Source organism: Homo sapiens, chromosome 5 (genome assembly GCF_000001405.40).
Source record: "Homo sapiens chromosome 5, GRCh38.p14 Primary Assembly".
NCBI lineage: Eukaryota > Metazoa > Chordata > Mammalia > Primates > Hominidae > Homo > Homo sapiens.
This window is the reverse complement of record NC_000005.10, coordinates 38,396,991-38,409,134: the sequence shown is the minus strand read 5'-3', so window position 1 is coordinate 38,409,134 and position 12,144 is coordinate 38,396,991. Positions and strand designations below refer to the sequence as shown.

At 41.8% G+C, this 12,144-nt stretch overlaps 1 protein-coding gene and 1 long non-coding RNA gene across 5 annotated transcripts in view; one reads left to right on the top strand and one right to left on the bottom strand.

Moving 5' to 3' along the window:
• The window catches only part of EGFLAM (EGF like, fibronectin type III and laminin G domains), a 206,922-nt gene that overhangs the window by 56,346 nt on the left and 138,432 nt on the right, over nucleotides 1-12,144 (bottom strand). For 2 of the 3 annotated variants that reach the window (NM_001205301.2, NM_152403.4), the window contains exons 7-10: nucleotides 2,894-3,009; nucleotides 1,989-2,307; nucleotides 1,230-1,330; nucleotides 31-131 (exon numbers count right to left, since the gene is read on the bottom strand). In NM_001205301.2, coding sequence (NP_001192230.1) covers nucleotides 31-131; nucleotides 1,230-1,330; nucleotides 1,989-2,307; nucleotides 2,894-3,009 — 637 coding nt within the window. Of the gene's footprint in view, nucleotides 1-30; nucleotides 132-1,229; nucleotides 1,331-1,988; nucleotides 2,308-2,893; nucleotides 3,010-5,243; nucleotides 5,595-12,144 lie in introns of those variants that run through there. The other variant, NM_182798.3, reaches the window with a different exon arrangement.
• EGFLAM-AS2 (EGFLAM antisense RNA 2) lies at nucleotides 5,664-9,321 on the top strand. 2 transcript variants are annotated; one of them, NR_102750.1, is made up of 3 exons: nucleotides 5,664-5,736; nucleotides 7,054-7,311; nucleotides 9,129-9,321. It is a non-coding gene; the product is annotated as an EGFLAM antisense RNA 2 (long non-coding RNA). The 2 variants fall into 2 exon arrangements; NR_102749.1 differs by lacking the exon at nucleotides 9,129-9,321 and having other exon boundaries at nucleotides 7,054-8,684.

Sequence of the window (12,144 nt, the reverse complement as noted above, 5' to 3'; positions counted from 1 at the left end):
AAAGAGTGTGAGGCTTTTGGCAGGAATTACCTGAACTGCAGGGAGCGTCGGATGATAGCCAGGGACATGAAATCCCCCCTCCCGTGTTCGTTCTCCCCACAGTAGAGCAGTAAGCCATCCTCTGCCTCCGCCTGTGATTATACAAACAAAAGCCACATGAACAGTAAGCACCTCCCCTTCCTTAAGGCACCACCTGGAAAGACACAAATGTGAAACTTGAGCATTTTCTCCTCCACGATCCTATCTACAAAGGGTCAAGCATGTGGGCTCCAATTCACTCCCAGATACCTGGTCCCAGTTCATTTTCAATAAACAAATGGCAGTGATATAAACTGAGGGGTAGCAGTGAGGCGAGAGCAAGGTGACCCCATCTTTGACCCGCTCTTTACTTGTCCTTTGTGGATGCACCTGCAGAGCCTCAGAAAACCAAATGTACAAAGACCACGGTCACAGTGAGGACATTGCTGGTGTACATCCAATTCTATTTTCACTTTGTTCTTTCTATTTCCCTCCCCCTGGGGAGGCATGCACATTTGCTTCTTTCCTTCTATCAGGAGAACAGGATGGTAAGAATAGCTCAGCCAAAAGCTGTGCTGGTGGTCTTAGACTAAGACAGGTCATTTCTTGAAGACTCAACACTGTGGCCATGACTTCAAATGAGACTTCTTTCCAGACCTCCAGACCTTTTTGTATCATTGGAGATACCCAAAAGAATCAGTTTAAGCTGAGGTCACTGACTGAATTCTTATCTGCAGTTGATTCAAATCAGAGAACCTCCACTGGGCCCTCACGAAGCAAGGCTTGCGTAAAGAAAAGTTTTCTATTTGTTCAGTGACAGCTATCACAATGAAGACAGAGAATTGGGCTCTCTTTTTAAACAATTTTGGAACGGGGAATGCATTGTTTCTTCTCAATCCTGGCCTGGGAGAAATCACTATTGTGAACAACATTGCTCGGACCCCAACATTCTCACTTGCAATCTTCATGCCAGCTACTCTATAGTTCAGTAATATACAAACCCACCGTCTCCTCACTGTCACACTTGAATGTTGTGAATGTACTCTTCATTCCTATTGTCTCATGAGCTGGTTTAGAGACAGGCTCTGTGTCATATTTACCTTTCGTCGCTCTCCCTGCTGCCCCGCTTCCTCTCCCCCAGCCTTTGAATGTAGCACATTGCTGTGTTAAAGTGTCCAAAAAGCACTCATCAAACAACACATCCCTCTTACCCTAAATTCAAGAGTAATTTGAAATGCCTGATAAGAATTCTTCAGAGGTTCAAACGTTACATAGGAGTGGCCAAAGAACTGAGGATACTGGATAACAATATCTGAAGAAGAAAAAAGACAACACAAAAGAATGCTATTTCCTCACTTCTTCAAAAGCAAAAATCAATATACAACGTTGCCTGAATATCATTAAGTGAGAACCCTCACTAATCTATTCAACTTCGCTATCTTCTTTTCTATACTTTTTATACCTACAACTCTCATTCTTGGAGACTTTGAGCTTCTGAAATTCTTAGGAAGAAGCTGCATTTTTGGAGACCGGCACTGGCTTTCCTAAGAAGAAACCAATGGCATTAGGGCCACTGTCACTTGCCCTCAGCTATACAGGCCTTTGTGTAATATAAGTTGGCCCAGTTGTTATCCTTCTTAACCCTCATGCATAAGCTTTAACTGCGTATTTTGGTAGAGATGTGATTATAGTAAAACCTACCTCTCTAAGATAGTATCAGGATGATTTATTGATTGCTTTAAAGGGACTACACATTTGGCACACATAGAAATAGGGCTGCTGTCTACTTAGAAGCAATGAAAGTTGCCTCACAATTTGCCTTGTATAGTTAATTTAATGACCAATATGTGGACGAAGGTACTTATCTTGGAGAAGGGACTAGAAGGAACTATGTTTGGACCACAAAACTGCCCTCTGGCTGTCAATGGTGCCAATTCATCACCACTTCTTCCTCTCCCCCAAGGGCCTACCTTCTGAGCAGCTCTCACCACCTTTGCCCAGGGTGCACTGGCATCGCGAGCCCCCCCAGGTGTAGTCATTGACACAGAAGCTGTCAGCAGAGCAGAGAGTTTCATCACAAGGCATGTCAAAGAGCCTTGACATTATGGCCACACCATTCTTCCCCTTTCTCTGTATGGGAATGGGCTGGGGAGCCACCGTGGTCACAGGGAGAGATGCTGAGGTAGGGGGGATGAGCCTAGAAATGGTCTTTGGGTTAGATATAGACATCTTCTTGCTTTCCACCAAAAATTTCTTATTCCCTCCTTTGGTAGCAGGAAGTGGTTTAACCTAAAGCCAGAGAAGGAAAGGGGTTCAAGATGAACACAGAGCATGGCAATTGGACTGTTTTATTTATAGTTGTTGCCTAGTACTTGAAAACATGGTCACTTCCAAAAACCCTAGGATGGAGATGGGGAAGACAGCACTGACTCTAATTTATGGACAAAGAGCTTGATGGTCAGGGACTTATAGTGCTTTTCCTTGTATTACTCAGAAAATCAGCAGTAAAACTGATATTACATTATTTATTCTTATTACAATATGATGAAGATGCATGACTTTGTCAAGGAATTGTTCATTTCCTTATAATACTTGATTTTCTGAAATTTCCCTTGGTGGGAAATAGAAATATGTTTTTGCCAGATTGTGAAGTCCGCAGGCAGGAGCTGCCTATGGAACATCAGGATGGCTAGTACTTCCCTACTACTGATTTATCAGCACCTGGAGACTGATCATCAGACAAAACAAATCAGTGTTAAAAGCAAATGGGCACATTTAAGTTTTAAGTAAAATGTTTATGGTCCATTGGCTAAATTGTCTTGTTCGGCAAGAAAACACAAACACCCTGGGTTTTAAGAGCAGAGATTATTGTTACCTCCTCAAAGGAAATATCCAAATCTAAGTCGTCTTCAAATCCTTCATCATCCTCACCAGCTCCCATGTCGGTGATATAACGGGGTCCATAGCGGCCACTTCCCGCCTCCTCAGGGCCTTCACAAAGAAAAGCAGCACACCCTTCATCAGCACAGGCCTTCTTTGCACTATTGTCTAGCCTAACTCAGCCACAGGCAGAGCTGTACCGAATGGAACGCAGTGTATTGGAAACATAACAATGAATTCAACACAGAAAAGGAAGCGTCAATGACCAAAAGATATAAAAAAAGTTTCCTCTCATAAGTTACTAAGGAATTTCCAACTGAAACCAGAAAGAGCTTCCATTTTATACTGACAAGACTGGCAAAAATGTCAATCAGATAATAAAAATATTACTAAGGACGGGATCAATGAGGACTCATATGGTACTTGTATAAACTGGTCCAGTCACTTTGTGAAATACTTGGAAATATTTCATAAAGTAGATGTTTGTTCATACCTAGCAATCCCATCCCAACTTACAAAAGCTGGAGAAACTCCTGTACCTGTGTACCAAAAGGCGTGTTCAAAACAGGTTCATAGCATCAGAATTTGTAATAGTAAAAAATACTCCAAATATGCTATTTATAAGAACAAACAACATCCCAAATGTCCATCAACAAAGAATGACTAAATTATTTATAGTATATCTATAGAATGGAGTACCATATAGTAGGGGAAAGGAATGAATCATCATTTAATATATCAACATGGCTTAATCTCACATGACTTCATACAAAAAAAATGCAAGTTGCAAAAGAATGCATCTAGTTTGATGACATTAATATAAAAGACAACAGCAAACAAAACAATATATTACTTAGGGATACATATATATGTAATTTAAACTCTTTAAAAAAGCAGGACAAACACATAAATACCCAAGGGAAGATAGAAAAGGGATGTGAATGAGGTGTGATTCACAGGGGCCTTTGAGAGTATTCCATCATATTCTGTTTCTTAAGGTAAGTGCTGGGTACCTGTAAATATTCATATTTTTTATATGTTGTATATATACATATATATACTTTTGAAGTACAAAGTATTTCACTAAAAGGTCTTTAAAACAAAAAAGGGAGATTATAGTAAACACTCCCACAACCAAAAAAAGGGGGCCCTATAAGGTATCTTGGGGGTCATCCATTTCATCCATCTTAGCAGGACAACTAAATCTTTCAGAACTGAAAGGTGGGTGAGAAAACCTCTCAGACGTCAATACAGAGCATCATCTTTTGGGGAACATTCAGTTGGCATTTTTATTCAACTGTCATCCGCAGAATCCACTGATCCACAGCGCTCTGATTTAGGTTGCACATGGGAAACACTCCACCAGGAGGTGGCAGCCTTTTAAAGAGCGGCTCCAGGGCACCTGCATGTCCTCACAGTGGATTTGGGCCAGCACAGGTATTAACTTGCTGCCCTCTCTCAACTGAAAAAGCCAGGCACCAGCCTTTAGGGCAGTAACAACTTTGGCAACAGAAACTGGCTTTGGTAGGATGCTGCCACTCATTAGTTATTAGACATCCAGTGTTTGGATGCCTAGTGGAAAAGAAAAAGGAAAAATAACATAAAAAGCATAAAAAACATAAACTAAACTTAAAGACATTTTGCTTTCAGAATAAGCTAAGTCATGCACCATTCTCAGGAAGACAAACTCACCCTCCTACATTGTCTGTCCAGGCTGCTACAACAAAAGTACCATAAACTGATGGCTTGTAAACCACAAACATTTATTTTTCACAGTTCTGCAGGCTGTGAAGTCCCAGATCAAAGGGCTGGCAGTATCTGATGAGGGCACAGATGGTGCCTTCTCACTGCATCTTCACATGGTGGAAAGGGCAAACCAGCCCCTTTGGGCCTCTTTAATAAGGGCACTGATCCCATTCACAAGGACTCCACCCTTATGATCTAAGTACCTCCCAAAGGCCCCTCCTTGGGGGTTAGGATTTCAACATATGAATTTGAGGGAGACATAAACATTCCGACCATAGCACTCCTCCAAACAGAATAGCAATCAGATTGAAAATGGAGTGGAAGGAAATGGCAGAAAGTCATTTTTGTCAGGGGGCGTGCTGTTGACCAGAAATCAATCTCCTCCCAGACCAGACGAGAGAAGTGCAGTCAGCAGATGATGCAGATGACCCAGAGACAGGGTGGAGTGAGCTGTTCTCAGGGGTTCGGGCACTTCTTGGTGGAGGTGGGATAACAAAGGGGAGGCGGTGTTCTCATCCCTTCCACACCAATTCCCCAGTTTTATTTAAAGTAGTCCACCTGTCAACTGAAAATTCAACCTGTCGATGCCAGATTTATACCTGGATGCATGTTCTCTCAAGCCACCTGCATGCAGCGTATCTGTGTGCCAGATGTCTTCACACAAAAGGCCCTTGAGGACAGCTCCTTCCTCTTGTCTCTATCTTTGTACAGCAAGCAGTCCCCCTTATCTGTATTTTTGCTTTCTGCAATTTCATTTACCCTCGATCAACCACAGTCCAAAAATATTAAATGGGAAATTCCAGAAATAAACAATTCATAAGTTCTGAGTAGCACGATGAAATAGCACACTGCCCTGCTCCATCCTGCCTGGGATATGAATCATCCCTCTGTCTGGCATATCCGTGCTCCATATGCTCCCTGCCCCATGGTCTGCAGCCGTCTCAGTTGTCAGATTCACTGTCATGGTATCGAAGTGCTTATGTTCCAGTAACCATTATCTGACTTCATAATGGCCCCACAGTGCAAGAGCAGTGATTCTGGGATTCAGATATGCCAAAGAGAAGCCATGAAGTGCATCTTTTAAATTAAAAGGTGAAAGTTCTCAACTGAATTAAGGAAAGAAAAAAATCATATGCTGAGGTTGCTAAGATCTATGGCAAGAATGAATCTTCTATCTGTGAAACTGTGAAGAAGGAAAATGAAATTTATGCTAGTTCTGCTGCATATATAGGGTTCAGTATTATCTGCAGTTTCAGGTATCCACTGGGAATCTTGGAACACATCCCCTGCGGAGAGGGAACTACTGTATCTATCTCTCTCGGCCCCTCTCTCTCTTTCTCTTTCTCCCCTCTGTCCTTTCCCTCACTCTTCATTTCTATCTCTGCCTCTCTCACATATTCAGAATTGTTAGATTCCAGAAGAAGAAATCCATTTGGTAGTAAAAGAATTATACAGCACATACATAAAGCAAGCTGGCTTTTGTCTTCAGTAGTTTGGTCTCTCTCCTTCCAGGCTGTTCTTCCTTGCCCTGTGCACCTTATTAACACATTCTCAACAAGGTTAAGATTCTCTTCATCTTTATCCTATGATTTCCTATCTGAAAAATCACCTTCAGTGACTCTCCACTGCCTACAACATAAATTCTAGGCTTCTTGGTCAAGAATTCAAGGTTCTCAATTAAAACAGCTCCTTTTTTCCTCCTTCTTCCCCCATCACCATGATTTATTGAATTCTACTCCATCTCCTCTTCTTATCAGGTACTATTGGGTGCTTAACATGATATATTTCTAAACTTTTCAATAATCTTACAAGGTAAGTATGACTAATCCATTTTATACATAAGAAAACTGAGTTAAGAGTAGTTAAGTAATTTACCTAAAATTGAAGACTTTATAACTGGCTGAGCTAAACTCAAATCCAAGGTCTGTCTGGTGACTGCTCTCCTAATCGCCTATTGCAGAAGAAGCCACTGTGGAGGTAGAAAGATCCTAGAATTTGAGAAAATTACCATATGTTGATCATTCTTAGTGTGCCAGGAGCTTTTCATACATCGCTTAAGTTAATCCTCACAAAATACTATAAAATTGGTGTTATTACTTCCATTTTACCAAGTGGAGATATAGACACAGAGAGATTAAATAACTTGCTCAAGGCAGACAGATGGGGAATGGCAGGGCTAGATTTTATCCTTGGTCTCTCTTTTGACTACATCATGCTACTTAATCTGAATCCTAATTATGTTTTCAGGTTTTTGTTGTTTTTTAAAAAATACTCTTTAAAAGCTATATAATAGCCAAACTGGCCTGCCAGTTGTCTCCTGAATGCATCTTGTATTTTCTTACCCTAGGATTTTGGTTAATGCTTTTTCCCATTGTCATCTTTTTCCCACTCCTATCTCCTTACACACAGCCTACCTATTCTCCCAGAGGGCATGCATTCTATGGAGACAGAGCTGAATGTGTGCCATCAGAAGACCAAAATCAAGCGACATTTTAAAAAGAAAACAGACTCTTCTGGGAAAAATGGTGACTCCACAAAGTAAGAAGCCACCAAGACTTGTAGGACATTCCTTCATCTTCTCCTGGATGGGGCAACCCAGCCATGGATATATGCCTCCAATCAGCATAAATGCCCATTGCTTGATAAAGTCAACACACGTGTAAGATGGTATGTAGATCTTCTGGGCTCCTGGCCTTAGACTCTTGCCCTTGTGTTTACCAACTCGATTGTAAATCCTTTGAGGGCAGAAACCATATTTTAGATTTCTTCATATCCTTTCCCTTCCTCCATGTCACTAACACTTCATGTACTCAACAAAGGTCAACACCTTTGAGAGGAGTGACAGGAGACACTCCCACAGTGCTGAACTATGTCCTGCCCTTGCTCAACATGGTGGGACTCTGCCTCCCAATCCAAAGACCCCGAAAACTGCCACCAATCCTGTCCTTTTCCCCCAAATGAAGCTAGAAGTAAGAATGGAAAGAGATCTAAACACCATCCAGCCCAATCTTGTCATTTCACAAGCATGGAAACCGAGGCCACAGAAAAGAATTGACTTAAAATCAAGATCATGCATCCCATTAGAGGAAGCTCTAACTCTAGAATCAGATAATATGACTCTAGTTCAATGTCCATAAGACTCTATTGCACAATTTTTTTTGGCATCAAGTATCTAAAGATAGTTCAGTCAGAAGAACCTGGAACCTAGAGAAGCCAAGGGTTAGAGTGTAGGTGGCTGAGATCTCTTACTGCCCCTCCATCTGCTCTAGGAAATTCTGTTTCTTGAAGGGAACTCCTCAGAGAAAAGGACCACAAGCAAATTGCTGCTGCTACAAAATGATACCATAATGAGAATGGAAATAATCCTGGATTCTCTGCTCATTTCGACAAGTAAAATAAGGCACATATTTTTCAATGGATAATGTTCTTTGGTCTCTGTAAAAATTGTTTCCGTTTTGACACTTTTTGTAACCTATTTCTTTGAAACCTGAGTTCACTCAGTTTGGGGAAACATAGGGTACGGAAGAAGAAGGGGAAAAGGAATATGGAATCACAAGGATTTAGAGTCAAAGTAATTTTAACTTTCATAGAGAGACCGCAGGGATCAGCTAACACAACAAGCCCATTTTACAGAGGAGTCAACTAAGGCTCAAAGAATCCATGAGACTCGCCCAGAGAAGCAGCTCATTAGTGGCAGAGTTGATCTAGAATTCTGGGCTCCTGCTGCTGCAACCCAGTCCTCTTTGCAGCATCCCAAACTCCCTCTCTCATAATAATCCAGGATAATAGTCATTTCCCATTTTTAATAAGAAGGAAATGAGCACAGAGAGAACCAGTCACAGCATGATGGAAGAAACCTGGAACTAAAGCCTCACTACTTCTCTTTCCTGACTGCCCCGCCACCTCAGATCCCAAATCCACAGCTTACAGGAAGTTTTTACCAATGTTATTTCTAAGTGAGCACAGAATGTACGGTCCAAGCCAGTGATAAGAATTCTCCCTGTAGCCTGGGGTTATTGTAATTAAAGTGCATAACTTATCTCTTTCTACTTGGTACTTTGTTAATTAGGAAAAGAGAACATTAAAAAGGAGACATTTATTAGAACCAGAATAATCAAACCACTAGTTCAGGGGTTATTAAAAAAAGTTAATAAACAAAACACAAATTTTTGTTAATAGATAAAAGGGTGACTTTTATTTTATAAAAAAACCTGTGCTTTGTTTTAATAAAGGCATCACAGGTTTTCTATAAATAATGAGTTTCTCAGCTATATCAACATGATGTAGTTGGAAATATCGGTAGTCATACAATCCAAATAATTGGGAGAAGGACATAAATGGCTTGGGTGACCTTGAGCAGGCCACTTCATCTCTCTGGGTCTTGTGTTTTCCAATAAAATAAGGAGTAGGATTAGACTTGATGACCTTGAAAACCTTTCCAGCACTAACATTCTGTGATCCTAAAAGTCACCCTTTTAATTTAGACATATTGCAGGTATCTGTCACATCAAGCAAGGTTTGAAGAAGAAACAACTGGAGAATTTTACTTATGTGGATGAAAAAGCAAACAGAAGTTAGTCCAGCATGGAAGTCACATGCTTTGGGATTGTAGCATTGTGTTCTCCTGTAGGAGGTGATCCATTGTCATTTATCGGAATCCATCTTCACTCAAAAGGAGCAGGTTGTATTTTGAGTCCCTTCTCTTAATGTCTTTTAGCAACAACAAGGGAGGAACACTTATTCCCTACTCTTGAAGTTCCAGTCATGAGAATAGAGTCTCCCGAAGTACTGCTGGATTCTTGTCCAACCGCTTTCCCTGCCTACAGAGGTGGGGACAGTGACTTGGCTGCTAAGTGGAAGCAGTAGGTCCACATTTCTGAAGGAGGGAAGCTAATCTATCAAAGGACCTTGGGGGCCGGGTGCAGTGGCTCACACCTGTAACCCTAGCACTTTGGGAGGCCAAAGTGGGTGGATCGCTTGAGCTCAGGAATTTGAGACCAGCTTGCACAACATAGCGAAAACCCATATCTAACAAAAATACAAAAATTAGCCAGGCATAGTGGCATGTGTCTGTGATCCCACCTACTCAGGAGGCTGAGATGGCAGGATCGCTTGAGCCTGGGAGGCGGAGGTTGCAGTGAGCTGGGACAGTGCCTCTGCACTCCAGCCTGGGTGACAGAGTAAGACTCCATCTCAAAAAAAAAAAAAAAAAACGAAAACAAAAATAAAAAAGAACCTGGGGAGGGAGGAGGAATTCGATTTGGAATGAATTAATTCAGTTCTTCCTACCTTCCCTCTCCACCTAGCATAGTGGAAAACAGTAGCCTGGGTAGGTGTGACTCCTGTGCAAACCCAAACTTTCCCTCAAGTGGGCTCTCCCATAGTCTGGACTGGACAGAAGGGAGTTTGCAAGCTCACTTTGGCTCTTAGAATGAGCTACGTCTTCTGACCCAGCCTTTTTAGAAATAAGAATGGCATTTGATTCATCTGCTTCATCTTCATCCTTATCATCTTCCTCTGCTGACTGTGTTGTTTTATTTTTCAATTGATTTCAAAAGTGGGCCAAAAAAAGTGCTATTAATTGTGTCTCTTCAAAACCCTAATACCCACCAGAATAAGAATGGTTCTCTCCATGAGGCTGTAAGCCACAGACAGAAACTGGGTCATCTCTTTCAGTGCAAATGTTCAAGAATTGGTTGGTTAGACGGAATAATGTCAGGTCAGACCTGTGACTTGAGTCCCTTCAAAGTCTTCCCAAGATCCTAAGTGACTTGGCCCTGCAAGCTTGAGCCTCATCTCTCACCAATGTATTCCTTCTCACCGTGCTCCAGCTGTGCTGGCTCTTCTTTCAATGTTTTGGATGAACCATCCTTTCCTCTGACTCAAGGCCTTTGCAAATGCTGTTCTCTATGCTTAGAAATCTTATCCCTCACTGCCCATCCCTTTACCTTTTTAATTCTTTTATATTTCTGTGCAAAATCACTTTCTTAGGGATGTCTTCCCTGTATCCCAGACAAGGTATGTTCTCATAGCTCTCCTCTTTAGTGGCATTATGAGTTTGTAATTTTATGCTTATTTATGTGATGATTTCATAAATGTAATTCTCCCACCAGACTGTAAAATCCTTGAGGAAATCAACACTATCTATTTTGGTTTCTGTTGTACCACCCAAACCTCACTCAGTCCTGACACATTTTAGAAACTTACAGAATGTATGGAAAATAGAAACAGTGAACTTTTGGAGTAGTTTAGCCATAATAAAAATATATGACAGCAGCATTCATCTAGGTTCTTAACAGCAAAAGTTCAGGCCCAAGGGGAGCCACACCTTTCCAGGATCTTAAGGATGTCATTCTGCAGAGTGTTCCTGGAAAACAATCCACACCCAGAGCCCCTCTGGAGTTGATGTTCCCAGTGGCTCTTCTGCATTAAGTCACTTTGGCTTGGGTTATACGCTTTAAGTAAAGTCAGTCCTGCTACCCTGGCCAAAAAAATGACTGAACCAGGATCTATGCCTGATCTTATAATGACCACATTCCGACCAGCCATCTCTGAGGGTCCTTGATGTGACAATCTGTGCTTCACATTGGAAGATAAGGTAGATATTTTAACCTCAGCTCCCTCCTCTCTCACCTGCTTCTGCTGTAGATATTACAGAAGCTAAATACTGGATTTTTAAGTCCCCTTTGCTCATGGGGTGGGGGTAGGGAGAGTCAAATGACAGTTTGGGTCACTAAGATGCATGTGGACACCTGTTGGAACCTCCCAGCTTTCTACATTTGCTTAGGCAGTGAAGGTGCTTGTGATAGCTGGAGCTGCAGCAGCTAATGCATTCCTAATTGAAACATGGTGAGCAAACAGCTCAGGTAGACCCTATCTTAGAAAATATTGAATCTGATGCTGGACGTGGTAGCTTACACCTGTGATCCCAGCACTTTGGGAAGTTGAGGTGGGAAGATTGCTTGAGCCCTGGAGTTCAAGACCAGCCTGGGCAACATAGCAACACTTCATCTCTATAAAAATAAAGATAAAAATTTTAATTAAAAAAAATTGCAACTGAGTACTTGCTGTGTGAGTGAGTCACAAGAGCGACTGGGTGACTTACCTAGTAGCTGGGTTCTGCATGAAGAAGGCCTGCTCAACACCAGCCAGCACAGGAACTCAGGGACTGCAAAGATGTGGATGGCTTCTCTTGCTCTCCCTTTCCCCCAAATAATCTGCTGGAACCAGTCCCTTCAAATCTGAATGAGTCTAATGAATGCAGTGGTTTGACTGGTGGGGAAAAGTAGCTCTAAGTACTGGCCATAGGCAGATATGTTGTTCTTTTATGCTCAGCACGTTTCATGAAACTCTTATTTGACCACAGCTTAAGAATGGCACCTCAGGCATCCAGTGACTTCCAGAGGCCTCACCTCAAAGCTTCTCAGATGCCTTTATCTTTATGCACATCCACACAGCAGAAGCGCAAATGGTGCATAACCCCTGTGGGGTGTTGCCTTT